Source organism: Homo sapiens, chromosome 8 (assembly GCF_000001405.40).
Source record: "Homo sapiens chromosome 8, GRCh38.p14 Primary Assembly".
Lineage (NCBI taxonomy): Eukaryota > Metazoa > Chordata > Mammalia > Primates > Hominidae > Homo > Homo sapiens.
The window spans coordinates 52,723,211-52,743,909 of record NC_000008.11 but is presented as its reverse complement, the minus strand read 5'-3'; the positions used below and the strand labels follow the sequence as shown (position 1 = coordinate 52,743,909).

Here is a 20,699-nt window from a genome sequence, read left to right as displayed (position 1 = left end):
GGCCTTCTCTATTTTAGCCTTGAACTTCTGGGCTCAAGTAATCCTTGTGCCTCAGCCTCCTGAGTAGCTGGGATTAAAAGCCACCATTCCCGGCTCTTTCCTCAAATTTCATATAAGTGGAATCATGTAAGTATGTAACCTTGAGTAGGGTAAGGGGAGTGCTTTTATCTTTCACTTAGCATAATGCTTTGGTGATTCTTCTGCCCTGTTGCTGGAGTCTGCAGTCTGGTCTTTGATAAAACCAAATCCTTTGAATGGCTACACTGCTATGTATGTATTCACCCATCTGTTGATAGACATTGGATTGTTTCCAGTTTTTGGTCATTGTGAGCAAAGCTGCTTTGAAGATCTGTCTGTACTAGTCTTTGTGTGAACATAGGAATTTATTTCTCTTGACAAAATACAGGAGTGGGACAGCTGAGTCATATGGTATTTACAAGACAGTCAAACTGTTTTTCCAAAGTAGATGTATCATTTTGCATTCCCACCAGGAATGAGAGTCACAGTTGTTTTGTATCTTTGCCAGCATTTGGTGTTGGAAGTCTTTTTAATTTTAGCATTTAGTAGGTATGGAGTGATTTCTCTATGATTTTAATTTGCATTTCTCTGTTGGTTAATAATCATGAACATCTTTATATACGTGGTAATTTGCCATCTACTTCTTGTTTGTTTCTTTGAGACAGGGTCTCCCTCTGTCACCTATGCTAGAGTGCAGTGGCACCATCCAGGCTCACTGCAGCCTCAAACTCCCAGACTCAAGAGATCCTCCCACCTCAGCATCCCAAGCAATTGGGACCATGGATGTGCACCACCACTCCTAGCTAAATTTTTATTTTTTTGTAGAGATGAGATCTCCTTGTGTTACCCAGGCTGGTTTCAAACTCCTGGGCTCAAGCAGTCCTCCCACCTCAGCCTCCCAAAGTGCTGGGATTACAGGCATGAGCCACTGTGCCTGGCCGCCATTTGCTTCTTAGTGAGATGTGCTTAGTTGTGTTTTTCTATATTTCTTTGATTTTGGTTTCTTGAGTTTTTTTTTTTCAATCTATTTGGTTTATAGTTTTCCTCACACTTGATAAATATTCAGCCATTATTTTTTCAAAAAAATTTTTGTCTGAACTGCCACCCCCTCCTTCCTGAGACTATATGTGTGATGCATTTTAGGCCACACTATGTTGCTCTTTTCATTTTTCAGATATTTTTCTTCTGTTCATTTTGGTTAGTTTCAGTTGTTTTGTCTTCAGTTTTACAAGTCTTTTTTTTCTGCAGTATCTTATCTGCTGTTTATCCCATCTGGTGTATTTTTCATCTCAGATATTTTTTTTTTCTTTTTCTTTTCTTTTTTTTTTCTTTTTCTTTTTTTTTTTTTTTTTTTTTTTTTTTTTTTGAGATAGGGTCTCACTCTGTTGCCCAGGCTGGAGTGCAGTGGTGCCATGTTGGCTCACTGCAACCTCCGCCTCCTGGGTTCAAGTGATTCTCCTGCCTCAGCCTCACGAGTAGTTGGGATTATAGGTGTCCGCCACCATGCCCGGCTAATTTTTTTGTATTTTTAGTAGAGACGGGGTTTCACCATGTTGGCCAGGCTGGTCTCAAACTCCTGACCTCAGGTGATTCGCCTGCCTTGGTCTCCCAAAGTGCTAGTATTACAAGCTTGAGCCACTGTGCCCAGTCTCTATATTTTTAATCTCTAGAAGTTTAATTTGGATCTTTTTACATGCTCCTTTTCTCATAATGCTCATGCTTTTCTCTAACCTTCTTGAGCATATGAAGTATATTTTTAATAACTGCTTTACTGTCTTTGCTGATTCTATTAGCTGTGTCTTTTTTTTTTTTTTCTGTTTGGCATTGGGACAGATTTTATTGCTTTCTGTGCCTGGTAATTTATAAATAGATGCCACTGTTGTCAATTTTATGTAATTAACTGTTGGACTTTTTGGTATTCCAAGAAATATTTCATTAAATTACTTGAAATCTGTTTGATCCTTTTTAGGCTTACTTTTGAGCCTCTTTGTTAAAATAGACCTGAGGGCAAATTGAATCCCTCTTATTCCATCAATGGCTGGAATTGGAAGTACATCCAGGGTGGGGTTTCTGGTTGTTTATTTGTTTTAGAGGCAGGGTCTTGCTCTGTTGCCCAGGCTGGAGTGCAGTGGCGTGATCATAGCTTGCTGCAGCCCTGAACTCCTGGGCTCAAAGTGATCCTCCCACCTCAGCCTCTCAAGTAGCTGGGACTATGGGAGTGCACCACCACTCCTGACTGATTTAATTTTTTGTAGAGTGGAGTCTGTCTATTTTGTGCTGGCTGATCTTAAACTCCTGGACTCAATCAATCCTGCCTTGACCTCCCAGAGTGCTGGGATGACAGGTGTGAGTTGCTGTGCCCGGCCCCATCCACAGTGTTTTTAACATCAGTTCTCTCAGCCCTTCCCCAGTAAATGACACATAGCAACTTCATGATTTCTTAAAAAGCCAAATAATTTTGCAACAAAATCGAATATAAAAGAGACAATATTGAGTGGCAGCTAAGCGTCTCTCGAATGATTCATACCTGATATAAATCTTATTTTTGTTGCCATGCAACCTGGGCTAGTTACTTAACATTTTCAGGCCTAGGTTTCTTCATCTGTGAAATAAAGATAATGGTAATACCTTCCATTGGTTGGGTGAGTTAAAGGAAATAAGGAATACAACACTTTCACTGGCATTTATTATACATTAAAACACCAGATTCCTTACACATGTCTGGTGTTATGTTTTATTTTAGGAAAACGTAAAAACAAACTTGTAACCATTACCAAGAATGCTAACTAAATATTGGGTACACAAAAGATGAAATCGAGTTTACAGTTAGATGGTTAAGTGATGACTGTGAAGTGGACTCTGCACTGCAAACCTGCTCACAAATAATCAGATGCAATCTGGGTTTTTTGCTCCCCCTAATGTATCTCCAGGCTGGTGGATTAGAAACATGAATGACAAGATATTGTGACAAGAAAGAATCCTAGAAAGTATTTGTAAACCACATACGCAACAAAGGACTACTATCTAGAATATATAAAGGACTCTCAAAACAACAGTGCATTTAAAAATCCAATTAGAAAATGAGCAAAGGACATGAGAGCAGATACAGATGACAAACAAGCACCTGAAGAGATGCTCAACTTCATTAGCCATTAGGAAAATGCTAAGTAAACTAAAATAGAATATCAGTGCACACTTATCAGAATGGTTAAAATCTTAAAAAGTGACAATACCAAGTGCAGACAAGAGTGGAGAACTGGCTCAGAGCCAAACTCTGGACTGACATCCTACCTTTGTCACTTTCTCTTTTTTTGTTTGTTTGAGACAGAGTTTTGCTCTTGTTGCCCAGGCTGGAGTGCAGTGGCACCATCTTGGCTCACTGCAACCTCCGCCTCCTGGATTCAAGTGATTCTCCTGCCTCAGCCTCCTGAGTAGCCAGGATTACAGGCATGCGCCACCACGCTCAGCTAATTTTGAATTTTTAGTAGAGACGGGGTTTCTCTATGTTAGTCGGGCTGGTCCCAAACTCCCGATCTCAGTTGATCCACTCACCTCGGCCTCCCAAAGTGCTGGGATTACAGGCATGAACCACCATGCCTGGCCCCACCTTTGTCACTTCCTAACTGGGTAATTAATCTCGGGCCAATGACTCACCCACCCTCTTCCTGTTTTCTTTGGAAAATGAGGGTTCTCATAGTGTTATGATTAGGATTTTTGATAAGCTATTGTAGAGACTAGCCCATAATACATCTTGTATCAATGTTTGTTTTCATTTTTCTTTGCGTAGTATCCCAATTATTTAGCTAAGATTTAACAACTGTTTAAATTCAATTATAAGAAATCCTTTAGTATGCTCAGAACTCTATCTTTAATTGTGTATCAATCAAGATTGGCATCAAATTTTTTGATACTCTTTACCATTACTCTTCGTAAATTGAAAAGTAAGTACAAGGTACAAACAGTATTCTCCCCATCAAAGCCACAATATGAATCTTTGAAGGCATGAAGACTAAAATAGATTTAGAAAGAGATGCTTGACCATTTTTCAACCCTTGCTTTATTTGTGAGCACAGCTATTAAACCTTCTATATTGCCTTGAGTATAAATGTGGCTCCCAAACTAATTTGCCTAGAGGCTACATCCGGAAAATGTCCGCCTTCCAAGAGCAACTAATTTTATTTCAGCATAAGTATATGTTTAACACTAAAAATATAGTATGTGTTTGTGCTTGCATTCATAAGTACCACAGAGGGCAAATATATCATAAAATGAAAGTTTTAAATAACTTTTCTTTTTTAGAGACAGCGTCTCACTACATTGTCTAAGCTGGACTTGAACTCCTGTGCTCAATAGATCTTCCTGCCTCAGCCTCCCAAGTGGCTGGGATTACAGGCATGTGCTACCACATCTGGCTTTAAATATCTTTTCTTTTTGAGATGGAGTCTCACTCTGTCCCTCAGGCTGGAGTGCAGTGACATGATCTTGGCTCACTGAAACCTCTGCCTCCCAGGTTCAAGTGATTCTCATGACTCAGCCTCCCAAGTAACTGGGATTACAGACATGCGCAACCAGGCCCAGCTAATTTTTAGTAGAGACGACGTTTCACCATGTTGGCCAGGCTGGTCTCGAACTCCTGACCTCAGGTGATCTGACCGTCTTGGCCTCCCAAAGTGCTGGGATTACAGGCGTGAGCCACCATGCCCAGCTTTTTCTATTTAAACAATTTTGTTTCTTTAATTAATACTATTGTCATCTCTAGTACATTCTACACTTTAATTCTTATGAGTAAACCTCTGGTTCCCCAATGGCCCCAAACCAATGGAAATCTAACAAGTCTGTTTCATATTCTGATGAGCTCTCACCTGAAAGAAGGGTGGAACATGCAAAGGCAGTAACAAACATATGGCTTAGATAGCAACTCAGATTGAGTTATTGATCCATTACAAGTTGAGTTGCGGTGGCTCACGCCTGTAATCCCAGTGCTTTGGGAGGCTGCCCTGACCAACATGGAGAAACCCCGCCTCTACTAAAAATACAAAATTAGCTGGGCGTGGTGGCGCATGCCTATAATCCCAGCTACTCAGGAGGCTGAGGCAGGAGAATCACTTGAACCCAGGAGGCGGAGGTTGTGGTGAGCCGAGATGGCGCCATTGCACTCCAGCCTGGGCAACAAGAGCGAAACTCAGTCAAGAAAGAAAGAAAAGGAATGAAGGAAGGAAGAAAGGGAGGGAGGAAGGGAGGGAGGGAGGAAGGAAGGAAGGAAGGACGGAAGGAAGGAAGGAAGGAAGGAAGTTAGTTCTCTGCTAGGCTGTGAGGGTCTGGATGGGGTATGTGATTTGGTCGCTTTTTATGAGAGTTTGAAAATTTACTGGTGATACAGATATACTTGCATATAATAACTCGGTTATCGTTATGTTCAAGAAAACGAATGTGGCAGAGGGAAGGTGAGTGCCACAGATAACAGGTTAGTGATGAAGAAAGTTCTGCGAGCTTTCGCAAAACACAGGAATGCTTTGGGAATCGGGTGCTGAGGGAGAAGCAAAGGCTGGGGTGAGCGGTGGCACTTTAGCAATAAAGTGGAATGAAAGTGATTTGATTTATGGAAGGTGAGGGCCCTGGGATGTGGGACTGGAGTAAGCAAATATTTAAGGTTGGAGGAGTTTGAGGAAAAAGCTCAAAGAAACCTAAGGAAGTCCTTGAAAGCCCCTGATAGAAATGTTTCATTGGTTTCAGTTGATTGGCTTGGGTGTATCTGAGGGCGTGTTGGAGCCTGGAGGGTAACCTCCTCTTGGGAGGGGTGGAGTTATCCCTGTAGAATTGAGACTGCCTGTGAAACATGTGATGGGTAATGGCCAGAGGCAAGCACTGGGCCAGGCTGCTGGAGATTTAGCTTCTTTCAAGATAAGAATTTAGGTTCATCCCTTGTGGTCACTAAGCCCAGGTCTGTCTCTTTAGGGGATTTAAATCTCCAATAGCCCTAGACCTGGTTCAGCTTTCCCCTAAGGCCCATCCTTAAACAAAGTGGCCCTTCAGGAACTTAAGGAAAAGGCTCCATGGCCTTCTGTATAATATTAGAATACTTAAAAGCAGTAGATGGTTCAAGTTTGTTTAATTGAATGATTAAACTAAGAGCTGAGTAGGATCAAAACAAAATGAAGAGTTGAATAGGATCTTAGAAATAATCTAGTCTCATCCTAACCTGAAAATTTAGGCAGAAAGTTTATACTACATGCAGCATATTTAAGAATTCATCTTTCCTGATTTCCAGCGTGGCTTTATCTATTGAACTCTATCGTATCTAATTTCAGCTGGAAACAGGAATTCTCAAGGTTCCTGAAAGTACTATACTTTGTCATTGTTCATCTGATTGTGGCAGTGCTGCTTCTAAAAATTGTAAATGAGGAATTTTTACTTCCTTTTTAGTTGAATTAAAATGGGACAGTTTGAAGATGATTAAAGACAATATAGGTTATTATAAAACCAGAGGTTTAAAAAAATAATCTCACTAATAAGCCAGTATTCAAATAAAAATGTTGTGACTAACATTAATTCAACATTTCTAAACATGGTTGAAGGTTTCTAGCTTACAGTGACCCCTGGTGTTACATTGAAACACATGCAGTCTGTTGTTCCAATCTGTGGAAATAGCTCCTGACAGGAGCTGGCCAACTCTATGTAAAGCAGCCCATTCCCAGTGGCTGTGGAGTAAAGCAAATTTCTGTAAAGGAAATTAGAATCTGTGCATTCAACATACAAAAGACCAGCATTTTATTAGGTAATACCTGTACATGTCATTAAAATATGTACTAAAGAAACAGTGAACAAATGAAATTAATTTTTTCTCAAATCTCAATTATTAAAGTGACTTATTTTAAAAATAAAAGCAACAATAGGAATTTAAACTTATTTGTTTCCTAATGTAGTAGATGGCAATATCCAAAAAGAGAGATATAAAATCTTTTCTTTTTTTAGACAGAGTCTCACTCTGCCGCTCAGGCTGGAGTACAATTGGACGATGTTGGCTCACTGCAACCTCTGCCTCCTGGGTTCAAGCAATTCTCCTGTCTCAGCTTCCCAAGTAGATGGGATTACAGGCATCCACCACCCCACCACCACGCCAGGCTAATTTTTTTGTATTTTTAGTAGAAACGAGGTTTCACCATGTTGGCCAGGCTAGTTTTCGACTCCTGACCTCAAGTGATCCGCCCGCCTCAGCCTCCCAAAGTGCTAGAATTACAGGCGTGAGCCACCGCACCCGGCCACAAAATCTAGTTTTTAAGTGTCTTGAAATCCGTAATTATGCAGAATTATATGTTCCCTCATGAATGGCAAATTTAAGAAATCTGTGTAGTCTGTGTGAATATGTGAGACAAGTCTAAATAACTCAAACTGTACACCAGAACATTTAAGTCTGGATGTGCTATTGTAATGAGAACACAGTTTTCACCTCAAATCCTTCATGCAACGTGGAGGGATGAAAAGGAACGAGAGGAAGGAGAAAGAAAAAATAGGAAGAAAGGAAGGAGGGGGGAAGAAAGGAAATGGAAAAGAAGATATTCGTTCTGGTTCATGTCCATAAGAAGAAAAAAGGAAGGAAGGAAGATGAGAGAAAACATAGATGTTGGATGGATGTTTTGCAATTTGAGTCTTGATCACTGCCAAATCTGCTGGGCCTGGTATAATGCCTGACATGTAGTAGGTTCACAGGTGAACTGCCCTTCAGACAACAGCAGTTTCATAAGGTTAAACTATATAAAGCTGACCAATTAAAACTATGCCGAATATATAATTTAACATTTGTATTTCCTGCCTAGTGTGTTCAGAATTAGGTGGATGGGGGTAGCACTCCCAGCTGGAATTTCTTTTTTTTTTTTTTTTTTTGAGATTTTGTCTCACTCTGTCGGAGTGCGGTGGTGAGATCTTGGCTTACTGCAACCTTCGCCTCCCAGGTTCAAGCGATTCTCCTGTCTCAATCTCCCAAGTAGCTGGGATTACAGGTGCGTGCCACTATGCCTAGCTAATTTCTTGTATTTTTGGTAGAGACGGGGTTTCACCATGTTGGCCAGGCTGGTCTCAAACTCCTTACCTTAGGTGATCTGCCTCCCAAAATGGTGGGATTATAGGTATGAGCCACTGTGCCCGGCCGAATTTCTTCTTTCTGTTCAAGCTTCACACCACTGACTAGGCCTGTATGAGACCATGCATGCAGAAATTGTAAAACTGTGTAACTGCAAAGTATTGCCACCATGAAAGTGGCATGGGGCCCTTGAACAAACCCAGCAGCAGTCATGGGTAAAGCTTGTGGCCCAGCAATAATGGAAAACATAAAAGTAACTCCATGGCTGTTAAATTAGGATTACAAAAATGCTCCCTAGCCCAAAATAATTCTCTAAATTGCTCAGATGATCCTGAAAAACCTTTTCACAGAACACAGGGTATTTATTAAAATAAAAGGTGGTTACAATGCAAATATTCTTACTGAAGTCTATAATTGCACTTATTTCCTTTCTTAAGAACCTAACATTGAAAGACGGGAGAGAAGGGAAAGAAGAGGAGGGAAATATAGAAACCAAAGCTGGGTACAATAAAAAAATCATACTTACCAGTTATGCTAAAAGTGAGGCCGAGTTTTAAAAACTCTATCAGAAGGACCAGAAGAGAGAGAATGTAGGGTACTGAGTTAGGGGGGTCAGAAAGGCAAATAAAGGGAGACCAAATGTGGTCAGACACCAATGTGCCCTCAGTAGAAAGAAACTGGAAAGCATCTGTGGGCTCTAAATTGAGTTCCAAGACATCAGTCTCTCAGAGGTAGAAATCACAGGAATGATTTTCACTGCCTAAAACTTTTGACTATACAGAACAACCCTATGATTGTGCAAGAGAGTTTACTCATGACTTAAAGTGTAGTGATAAAAAGGAAAGAAAAGGCAGATTTTATCATGACAGTTGTAAAATTGAAAACTGTAGAAGCAGACTTGAAAAAATCGTACATATCAAAAAATGGGCCAATTAAATAAATGGTGTTATATCTATCTGGATAGACTTATATTTCATGTGATAGAATGCTACAAAAGCATTAAAAGAAATATGATAAGGCCAGGCACAGTGGCTCACACCTGTAATCCCAGCACTTTGGGAGGCTGAGGTAGGTGGATCACCTGAGGTCAGGAGTTTGAGACCAGCCTGGCCAACATGGCGAAGTCCCATCTCTACTAAAAATACAAAAAAAAAAAATTAACTGGGCATGGTGGGAGGCAGCTGTAATCCCAGCTACTCGGGAGGCCCAGGCAGAATTGCTTGAACCCAAGAGGTAGAGGGAAACTCCGTCTCAAAAAAAAAAAAAAAAGAAAAAGAAAGAAATGTGATAAAGTCTAAGTCTACTGACATCACACATACACATATTTATGTACTTGTAAAAACACGTGGAAGAATATATATATACAAATTGTGTGTGTGTGTGTATTAGTGACTGCCTCTTAGGAATAATTTGGGATAGGTAAGAAAATAATTGAATTCTTTTAAATACTTTTTATTTTTTAACGAGATCATTTATATCTCATAAGAATTTTAAGGATATTAAGTTTGTCATCTAGTAAAGATGATTGTTTTTAGAAACTGTTTCTTTACTACTATGGACAATTAGCTGTGAAAGACATTTCCAAGAATAAAGATTCCTCAGGCACTGACAGTCTAAAACTGGGAAACAGGACAGGTACCCAGATAACTTCAGAAAGGCAGCTTAGAAGGACCATAGGAAAAGTTCATAGCTCTGTGATGGTTCGGAGGACAAATAACATCCACTTGGGTGGACCAGGATAAAAGGTTAAAAATTGGTAGTCTTTTGACAGGAAGATGACAGGACAAGTTTTCAGAAGTGCCAGCCTGAGTAAAGGCATACAGCGGGAAAGGAGGAGTACTTCTAGAACTAACAACAGACAGTAGTAATTGAGCACTTACTGTATGCCAGGTGTTGTTTTTGGCTCTTTACAAGTATTACTTCACAATACTCTTACAAAGCAGGCATTACGATTTTCATTTTAGAGATGAAGAAACTGAGGCAATGAGAGGGTAAGGCACTCTCTCAAGATCGCCCTGCTAGCGAGAGGTACTGGCAGGAGCCACAGCTGGCTGGAGCTCTTTTGTCTTACCACAATCCAGCCTCGTGGAGGCTGGGGTCTTAGTCTGCAGGGCCTGAGTGGCCACCTAGAGCAGGCAGTGTGACACTGTGTGGTCCAGGTGGGAGGTCACAAGAAGAAGCAGGGGTTCCTCACCCACTGTCGAGCTCCACCTCCAACTCTGTAAGAGTCTTGTTCCTCTTCTCCTCCATGTGGAAGGGGAGCTGCCTCTCAGAGGAGGCAAGGTGCTCTGCCTTCCCACCAGCTGGATCATCTTTTTAAAAAATTCCCAACATCTTTTATTTTTTAGAACCTGGACCGGGGTAGGGAGGGTGTCTCACCATGTTGCACAGGCTGGTCTTGAACTCCAGGCCTCAGCCATCCTCCCACCTTAAGCTCCCAAAACACTGGGATTATAGGTCCAAACCACCAGGCCGGCTTTCAATTGCCTTTTCTTTTTGTGAAGAGATAATTCATATGGTCACATGGTTCAAAACTCAAATTATTTGAGGGTAAGCAGTGAAAAGTTTCTTTTCTATACATGTGCCCAAGATAGCCAATGTCACTTCCTGGAAGCAACCAATGCTTCCCATTTCATCTGTATTCTTCTAGAAGTATTTAGAGATAATTACGTAGAGTGTATAAAGATATTCCTTGTTGTTTTGTTGAAGATGCATTGAATATGCAGAACATAATTTATCTGACCTGTCCTGTTAATAGACATCTTTTACTACTGTAAACAATATTGCAATAACTATTCTTGTTCATTTTTCATACATGTAGACATATCTAGAGAATAAATTGGAATGTACCCTTTACTCATTGTAATTATTAATTGTAATCACTTGCCAAATTGCCCTCCCTTGAGGTTATAGTAAATTTATATTCTGAGACATAAATAAGTGCCCATTTTCTCACTCCTTTGTAATATTGCGTATTATCAAATGTTTCAATTTTTTACTTAAATTCTATGTTTTTGAGATATCCATATTGATACATGTGGTTCTACTTCATGCATTTTTAATTACTGGGTACATTTGTATTTTTAAATTCTAGATTCAGGGGTTACATGTGCAGGTTTGTTGCATGGGTATATTGCATGATGCCGAGATTTGTGCTTCTATCGATCCCATCACCCAATAATGAACATAGTATCCAATAATAGTTTTCCAACTCTTGCCCCTCTTCCTCCATCCTTTCTTTAGGAGTCTCCAGTGTCTATTTCCATGTTTATGTCCATGTGTACTCATTGTTTAGCTCCCACTTATAAGTGAGAACATGGAGTTTTTGGTTTTCTGTTTCTATGTTAATTTGCTTAGGATAATGGCCTCCAGTGCCATCCATGTTGCTGCAAAGGACATAATCTTGTTCTTTTTTTTATGGCTGTGTAGTATTCCATGGAGTATATGACCACATTTTCTTCATCAAATCAATTGTTGTTGGTCCCTTAGGTTGATTCCATGTCTTTTTTTGTTTGTTTGTTTTTTGTTTTTTTTTTTTTGAGACAGAGTCTCACTCTGTTGCCCAGGCTGGAGTGCAATGGCATGATCTCGGCTCACTGCAACCTCTGCCTCCCAGGTTCAAGCGATTTTCGTGCCTCAGCCTCCTGAGTAGCTGGGAATACAGGTGTGCACCACCACACCCGGCTAATCTTTGTATTTTTTAGTAGAGACAGGGTTCCACCATGTTGGCCAGGCTGGTCTTGAACTCCTGGCCTCACGTGATCCACCCGCCTTGGCCTCTCAAAGTGCTGGGATTACAGGCGTGAGCCACCACACTCAGCTAGTATGTCTTCTTTTGAGAAATGTCTATTCATGTCTTTTGCCCACTTTTCAAATGGGGTTGTTATTTTGTTGATTTAAGTTCCTTATAGATTCTGGGTATTAGTCCTTTGTTGGATGAATAGTTGGCAAATATTTTCTACTGAGTACTATTAAATTGCACAAATATACTATTTACTTATCCACACACCTACTAATGGACAACTAGGTTTATCTTTGACACTGTTTGGGGGTGTCCTCCTGCCTGTTTATTTTACTGAACATTAAATGCAATTCATTATTAAAAGCTGTATGTCAGGCTCTGGTATACAGAGATGAACAAGACATGCTCTCTGTTCTAGAGTTACGCCATGTTTAGGATAAGCAGAAAGGGTTGGTGGAAAAAATTAAAAATAATAATAAAAAAGAAAGGGTTAGTGGACCTTGGGGAGAAAGAGATATGCTGTGTGCATACAAATATAATTAGTTATGAGCAAAATGGGGGAGAATAGAAAAAGCATGTTATCAGAGTGCCTGGTCAATGACAGATATTTGTTGAGTGAATGAACTAATGAGTCAATTAGTAAGAAACTGATCGCAAGGCACGTTGAATATTTAGGTATTAACTTTGAGGGACTGTAATTAATGTTCCTTACTACTAATTGCCTTGTCTAAGGGAAGACAGACGAAGTTGCTAAATACCCATGGAAATCCAACCCTACGCGGAAATCCAATCCTAGTCCATCATTTCAAGACCTTACAGGTAAATGGGACAGATTAGGAAAAATGGTCTTTTATTGCTTTTAAACTCTAGTTACTTTTTCAGTTTTCATAACTTGAATAAATAGCCTCAATCATCAGTTAGTCAAAAAACTGTATATCAAGGCTAATTTTTCTACTTAGTATCTCATTAATCATCTTTTGAATTGCAGAGATAACTCCCAGCTGGCTAAAGGCCACTACACCCTGTCTATATTTACACTGAATTAAGGATAAATCTGGCTAGGTTGCTTTGTTATTAAAATGACATACCAAAGATTTAAAGCTCAAGTTCAAGTTCATATACTGTATTTGAATTCTCCAGTTGGCTGTCATATCATGACAAAGGCAGTTTCCATGTAAGAATTGTATAACACCGCCTATCCACCAGTGGCAAGTTTTGGCACAAGACATTAATATTTGGGTAATAATGTATTTCGTGGCTGGGTTAATGTGGTTAATCTTTCTGAAGCTATGCTTAGAAATTCCAAGGCAAAATGGTGCACACACTTCCTCTAGTATTTAGGTTTCTACCATAGAAACAGAATTCAATCCAAAACTTTCATAACTATAGATATAGAAGAACACTGTATAAATACTTTAAAAGATGTCAGTCTTATTTCTCTCTCGTGTTTCAGATTAGGACTTTATTTTAGTGATTCTGTCTCCTTTTATTATATTTTAGAGACAGGGTCTTGCTCTGTCGCTCAGGCTGGAGTGCAGTGGCACAATCATGGCCCACTGCTGCCTTGAAGTCCTGGGGTTAAGGAATCCTTCTGTCTCAACCTCCCAAGTAGCTAGGACTACAGGCATGCAGCACTATGTTCAGCTAATTTGGTTTTTAAACATTTTCTGCAGAGACGGGGTCTTGCTCTGTTGCCCTGGCTGGTCTCAAACTCTTGGCCTCAGGCAGTCCTCCCACCTCGCCCTCCCAAAGTGCTGGGATTGCAGGCATGAGCCACCACTCCCAGCCTCTCCTTTTATTATTTACCTTTCAAATTAAAATTTTGTAGAGACTTCACTGACAGAGCCATTTCTCAACAATTTTTCTTGGAACCAACTTCATTATCTAGGTAAGCTACAAACTTAATACATTATGCATTCAACAAGGGTTAATTACATGCTATAGAATGCATAGCACAAAAAGTAGGCATCTACCAGCGATTCAAGTACTTATGTCTAAAAGTTTCCTTTAAAAAAACACATATGTATTGATTGTTCCATAATTAAGAACTACCAGAGTGCGTAACTTTAAAAGGTGACTTATCATATCGTGTAAGTAGTATGCCATTATATTGTTTGGTTTTTGAGAGAGTAAAAATCAGCCTAGGACTGAGATAGTAAAAAAAAAAAAAAAAAAAAATCTGCCAATAAGTGTTATTCATCCTATTGAGAATTTTAAATAGAATTTGAAAGGGATAACCCCATTAAGCTGAGCTTCAGTTTCCTCAAGTAAAATGGCAGTTTGTTGTGAGAGATGGAATAAGGTATGTAAAGCATCTAGCCTAATATCTCACACATATCCATTCAATTTTGTTAGCTCCCTATTCTGGGCATTCTTTCCTCCTTCGTAGCACCTAGAGAATAATTTTTGGGCCTCTGCAACGACGTGGATCAGGGCAAGGCACAGCTGAAGCTACAGAGCAGTTGAAGAATTAAAAATAGTAATTAATTGGCAACTAATCTTTCAAATGTGTGGGAAGAACAGATGATAATGTACAGACCTTAGCCCACCGCCCAAACAAAGGATAAGGAAATAAAAACAGAACAAATGCAATTAAATAATCTACTCATTTCAGAAGTCGCCAATTTTGCCTCCTGGTCTCTCTCAATTTTCTGCTTTCTCACCTTCGATTCCTTGGCCCCTCATCTATTTATGTTCTTTTTCATCTTAATGCACTTTTTCTTCTTTTCTACTTTCATCGTGGTGTACTTTATCTCTTTCCTTAAATCAGTGGTGTGCCTAGCACATTTGACACCTAGTACAGATCATTTTAAATGACTTCCTCCTCTAAAGGAGAAAATTATTTTTAAGTCATGAAATGAAATACAGACCAGAAAGAAGACACTGAAAAATATTTTATTGATTTTTACTTTGTAACTATCATTAAATTTTTTCAAATAAAAATGTAAATAAAATAATACAGTACAAAAAAGGAAACAAATTAATACTTTTCCATTACATGAATGTGTTTTTTTGAAAAAAATTAAAGGTTCAGGGAGACATGTGAAAATAAGAGAAAGGGAACTCTGCCTATATGTCTCAGAAAATGGTGTGTATATATTATACAATAACAGAACTGAAGTTATTCAATTTGTTTTGACACCTTTACAATCACGGCGCTATCGTGTATTATGAATCTGCTATTTAAAGCTAGGATTTCTATAGTGCCAAAGGTTGGAGATAAGAGCTGTGCACAAAACAAGCTGAAACAATTTAGAACTGTTAAGAATGTACTTTCAATACCAACACACATATAAAGCCGAGTCCTTGTATGTTGGGGACCAGTTGTATAATCAAGAGTTCTTTGAATTAACTTCCCCAGAGTATAATTAAAAGATAAGCAATAACAATGTGCTAATTTGAGGCTTACACGTTACTAAAATTCAATAGACAATCACAGCATTTATTTAGAACTTAAATCAATGGTTCTCAACCTTGGCTGTTTTGCCTTTCGGGACATTTGGCAATGTCTGGAGACACTTTTGGCTGTTACCATTGTGGGGAGTGCAACTGAAATCAAGTGGGTGGAGGCCAGGGATGCAGCTAAACATCCAAAGATGCACAGGACAGCCTCCCACAACAATTATTTGGCCCAAAATGACAACAGAATGAGAAACCCTGGCTTGGACCAACCAGGTTTTTGAGGTGAGAGTTTATTTTTTCAATGACATTGTTTAGGATTTGATGGCAGAAAGGTGATAATAAAAGCAGACTGATTCTAGTTATTTTTATTGTTGCTAAATGGCAATCGTATAGACAGTGTACTCCTTTATCGTCTGTACCCGGGGGTAACCACTCGGACACCCCACCCCATCTTGGCTATCATTCATTGCTCCATTAGATTTCTTCTTCTGGAGTACCACCTCAGTGAGGCGTAAATGAACCAGAGCTAGCCACAGGTTCGTATGTGGCTATTCTCTTGGTTGATTTCATGCTTATCTTATTTTTAAAAACATAATTAAATATTCTAAAATAACAGCTTTATTGAAATATAATTTACAAACCAAAAAGTCATCATTTTAAAGTGTACAATTCAGTGGTTTTTAGTATATTCATCAAGTTATGAAACTAGCACCACTAATTTCAGAACATTTTCATCATTTTCAAAAGAAATCTTATGTCCAGTAGCAGTCATATCCCATTCTTCTCTTTCTTCCTCCAACCCCTGGCAAATGCTCATCTATTTTCTGTCTATGAATATGCCTATTCTGGACATTTCATATAAAGGTAAAGATACAATATGTGGCCTTTTGTGACTTCTTTCACTTAGCATGTTTTCAAGTATCAGTACTTGGCTCCTTGTTACTGCCAGGTTATATTCCATTGTATGGATAAACAACATTTGGTCTGTGCATTTATCAGTTGATATCTGGGTTGCTTCCATTTTGCCTACTTAAGTATGCTTCTCTGAACATTTGTGTGGACATAGGTTTTTAATTATCTTGAGTATATAACCTAGGAGTGGAAGTGCCGGATCACGTAGTCATTCTATGCTTATTATTTGAGGAACAGAAACTCTTCTATCACATATAATATTCTATTGTTGGATACACCACATTTTGGTTATCCATTCAACATTAGAAAACACTTGGATTGCTTCCACTTTTTAGCTGTTATGAGTAATGCTGTATGAACATTTGTGTTTTTTTTTGTGATGTATGTTTTCATTTCTCTAGAAGTGGAATTGCTACGCGATGTAGTTAACTCTCTAACCTTTCGAGGAACTGCCAAACTGTTTTCCGAAGTGGCTACAACATTTTGTAATCCCACTAACAAGGGTTCCAATTTCTCCATATCCTTACTATCACTTGCTATTGCCTTTTTAATTTTGACTACCCTGGTGGATATGAAGTGGTATCTTGTTGTGATTTCATTGCATTTCCCTAGTGAGTAATGAGGTTGAACATCTTTTCATGTGCTTATTGGCTATCTGCATATCTTTGTAGAAATGTCTACTCAAATCTTTAGCCCATTTTTAAAGTTGGGTTGTCTTTTTATTGTTGAGTTGGAAGAATTGTTTATATATTGTTCCTTATTTGTTATGTGATTTGCAAATATTTTCTCACATTCTATGTTTTGTCTTTTCACTTTTTTTTTTTTTTTTTTTTGCGACAGGGTCTTAGATTCTGTCACTCAGGCTGGAGTTCACTGGCTTGATCTTGGCTCACTGCAGCCCTGCCGCCTCCTGGCTTCAAGTGATTCTCCAGCCTCAGCCTCCTGAGTAGCTGAGACCACAGGCGTGAGCCCCCACATAGGGTAATTTTTGTAGAGATGGGGTCTCGCCATGATGCTCAGGCTGGTCTTGAAATCCTGAGCTCAAACTGATGCCTCCCCAAATGCTGGGATTACAGGCATGAGCTACCATGCCCGGCCTCTTTTCACTTTCTTGATGATATCTTTTGAAGCACAAAAGTTTTTAATTTGGATAAGGTCCAATTTATCTAATTGTGTGTGTGTGTTAAGTGTGCTTTTAGTGTAATATCTAAGACACCATTGCCTAATACAAAGCTGAAGAGATGTACTCCTGTTTTCTTCTAAGAATTTTATAGTTTTAGCTATTAAAGTCTTTGGTCCAGTTTGAGATCATTTTGTCTATGGTATGAGTGCCACTGTATTGTTTTGCATGTGGATATTCAGTTTTCCCAGCACTATTTATTGAGAAGGCTCTTCCTTCCTCCTTTGAAATATCCTTTTCTGTTTTTTGAGTGTCTTGCTCTGTCGACCAGGCTGGTGTGCAGTGGCATGATCATGGCTCACTGTAGCCTCCACCTCCTGAGCTCAAGCAATCCTCCCACCACAGACTCCCAAGTGGCTGGGCTGCAGGCTCACACCACCATGCTTGGCTAATTTTTAATTTTTTTTTTTTTTTTTTTTTTTTTTTTTTTTAGTAGAGACAGTATCACTATGTTGCCCAGGCTGGTGTTGAACTCCTGGCCTCAAGCGATCCTCCTGCCTCAGCCTCCCAGAGTGCTAGGATTACAGGCCTGTGCTACAGAGCCTGGCCTATTTTATTATTATTATTTTTTGCTAGTCCTTGATTCAGGAGAAAAATCAATTGACTTTAAACTTAGTTCATTTCTGGACTTTCAATTCTATTCGATCTGTCTGATCTTATGCCAGTACTACACTATCTTGATTACTGTGACTTTGTAGAAAAGTTTTGAAATTGGGAAGAGAATGTTTCACAGATTTTTTTTTTTTTTTTTGAGATGGAGTCTCACTGTGTTGCCCAGGCTGGAGTGCAATGGTGCAATCTTGGCTCACTGCAAACTCCGCCTCCCGGGTTCAAGTGATTCTTATGCCTCAGCCTCCCGAGTAGCTGAGATTACAGATGCCTGCCACCACATCCAGCTAATTTTTGTATTTTTGGTAGAGACAGGGTTTCACCATGTTGGCCAGGCTGGTCTTGAACTCCTGACCTCAAGTGATCTGCTTGCCTTGGCCTCCCAAAGTGTTGGGATTACAGGCATGAACCACTGCGCCTGGCCTCTCAATTGCATTTTAATTGTTTATTGCTATTGTACAGAAATACAACAAAATATTTTCAAGTAAAAACAATACTTCTGAAGCAGTTATATGAAATAGGAAAAAGATAATTTTTTAAAGTCACTTAATGTGGACTTTAACATTTTTACTTATTTTGAATCTGTACTACCCACTGTGTTGAGGACATATCATAACTTTTTTTTTTTTTTTTTTTTTTTTGAGACGGAGTCTCGCTCTGTCACCCAGGCTGGAGCACAGTGGCACAATCTTGGCTCACTGCAACATCCGATTCCCTGGTTCAAGCAATTCTGCCTCAGCCTCCCAAGTAGCTGAGATTACAGGCATGCACCACCACGCCCAACTAATTTTTGTATTTTTAGTAGAGATGGGGTTTCACCATGTTGGCCAGGAGGGTCTTGATCTCCTGACTTTGTGATCCACCCGTCTTGGCCTCCCAGAGTACTTGGATTACAGGCGTGAGCCACCACACCTGGCCTCCTAACTTCTTAATAAAGCCTAGCTGAACCTTCTTCCAGAAAACCTGTCATTTTCAGTTCATTTCTTGGTGATATTGAATTTTTTTTAAAAAAAATCTTAAAACAGGAGCATAAAATTGCTCTTGAGAGCCTTAAATATGGTAGGGAAAATACAAGCATTTCACACAAGTATCTCTTTGGTCAGCTTCCAGAACTCTGGGAGTAGAAAAAAATGAAAGGAGAGGAGACAAAAAGCCTATAACATGAATGTAAACGGTAAGAAAGATGTGAACTTTAAAAATATTTTATGGCAATTCTTTTCACAAAATGTTTTAAATGTAACTAGATGTTTGTACTAAAATACAAGCACTTCATACATTTTAAAAACCACTGGAGTTAGATTTTTCAAAAAGTGTTGATTGGCTAATGTAAAATTTCTGTAGGGACCGTACAAATGTCAGAGCTACAGTATATTTTACATGCGATTTTTCATTCTAACCTATAGAACAATGTGAGGTAGCTAAAGTAGATATTGCCAACACAGTTTCAAAATGAGGAACTTGAATTTATAGATGTTAACTGATTTTCCAAATCCAAATGAAGTCCCAGATTTTCCAACTCCTTAATGCAGCCAACTTATGATGTATGTGTATAAACTATATACACATATTTTAAAAATTAAGGCACATCTGAGAATTATATGAGTTCAAATTAATCCATAATAAGCATACAAACACATAGAAAGCTTTGTGTGTAGATTAGGATTTTTCTGAGGAGCTTATTTCAAGGGAGGGGCGACATCTATTGACAGAAAGAAGATTGAGCAGGACTGTGAGGATTTTTAAAAATTTAGTCTTGTTTCTCAAAGCCATTCCTTGTATTAGAATTCCCCCTAGAACTTATTAAAAAATGAAGAGCCCTGAGCCCTGCCAGTGGTGAAGTGTATTTGACACTCAGAGTAGATAATTTTTTAACATCCCATTCCTCTATAGTTTCAGTAACAATAGAACAACAATAATAGTAATGGTTAGAAAAGAAATTGACAGCAAAATTTTTTAACTGAAACTTTAATCAAGGCAGTCAAAATTTAAAAGTTAAAAAAAAAAAAGCCACACAAATATTACAAAACCAAAAAGAAAAAATCTATACTACTTGATAGTTTTGAGATCTGCCTAGGAGTTTTAACTTTGACCCTTTGTTAAAAAGTCATTTTATGTAAACAATTGTCCAGCAACTAATAAGTGAATTTCAATAACATCTACAAGATATAATTTGTTTCTACTAAATCATATTGATGATAGAGTGTTTTACTTCTTGATTTTTAATTTTAAATGAATAAACAATGAAACCGGATAAATTTCAATTTTAAAGATATTTAAGTTTTGTAAGGTATGTCACACATGAACTAAATTTTGTACTTAGTAAGTGGTTCCACAGAATGACAGAATGAGATGGTAAAATGAGATGGAGTCAAAAACCCACGACTACCTTAAATAGAAGGGACAGAATAGTGACTGTTGGAGAGAATTTGTGGATGCAAATAGGTTTGCAGATTTCAGGGCAGAAGAGGAAGTTCTTTTCTCATGGCTTCTATTTCCTCAGTGTTGTAGGAGGTGAGATTATTTACCAAAGAGAGAACTGGGAAGGGGTGGGAATTAGGGATTCAAGAATAGTGCAGACAATCTGATGGAGAGTAGGAAGAGTGAACTACTAGGGAAACAACACAGAAGGCTGAGGTAGAATTGGAACCCACGTTTCCAGACATTCAGTTCAGTGGTCCTTTTAATACATCATACTGAAAAGGAATGACTATTGGGAAAAGTATTTTGCATGAATGGATAGCAGGTAGGGTTGATTAAAA

At 38.8% G+C, this 20,699-nt stretch overlaps 2 annotated features.

Moving 5' to 3' along the window:
* Positions 4,825–5,325: an enhancer, noted in NCBI's record as "H3K27ac hESC enhancer chr8:53651145-53651645 (GRCh37/hg19 assembly coordinates)". NCBI's record gives its function as "activates a minimal SCP1, AML or CMV promoter by ChIP-STARR-seq in primed H9 embryonic stem cells {active_cell/tissue: H9 hESC(primed)}" and the evidence as "EXISTENCE:reporter gene assay evidence [ECO:0000049][PMID:30033119]".
* Positions 5,326–5,826: an enhancer, noted in NCBI's record as "H3K27ac hESC enhancer chr8:53650644-53651144 (GRCh37/hg19 assembly coordinates)". NCBI's record gives its function as "activates a minimal SCP1, AML or CMV promoter by ChIP-STARR-seq in naive and primed H9 embryonic stem cells {active_cell/tissue: H9 hESC(naive and primed)}" and the evidence as "EXISTENCE:reporter gene assay evidence [ECO:0000049][PMID:30033119]".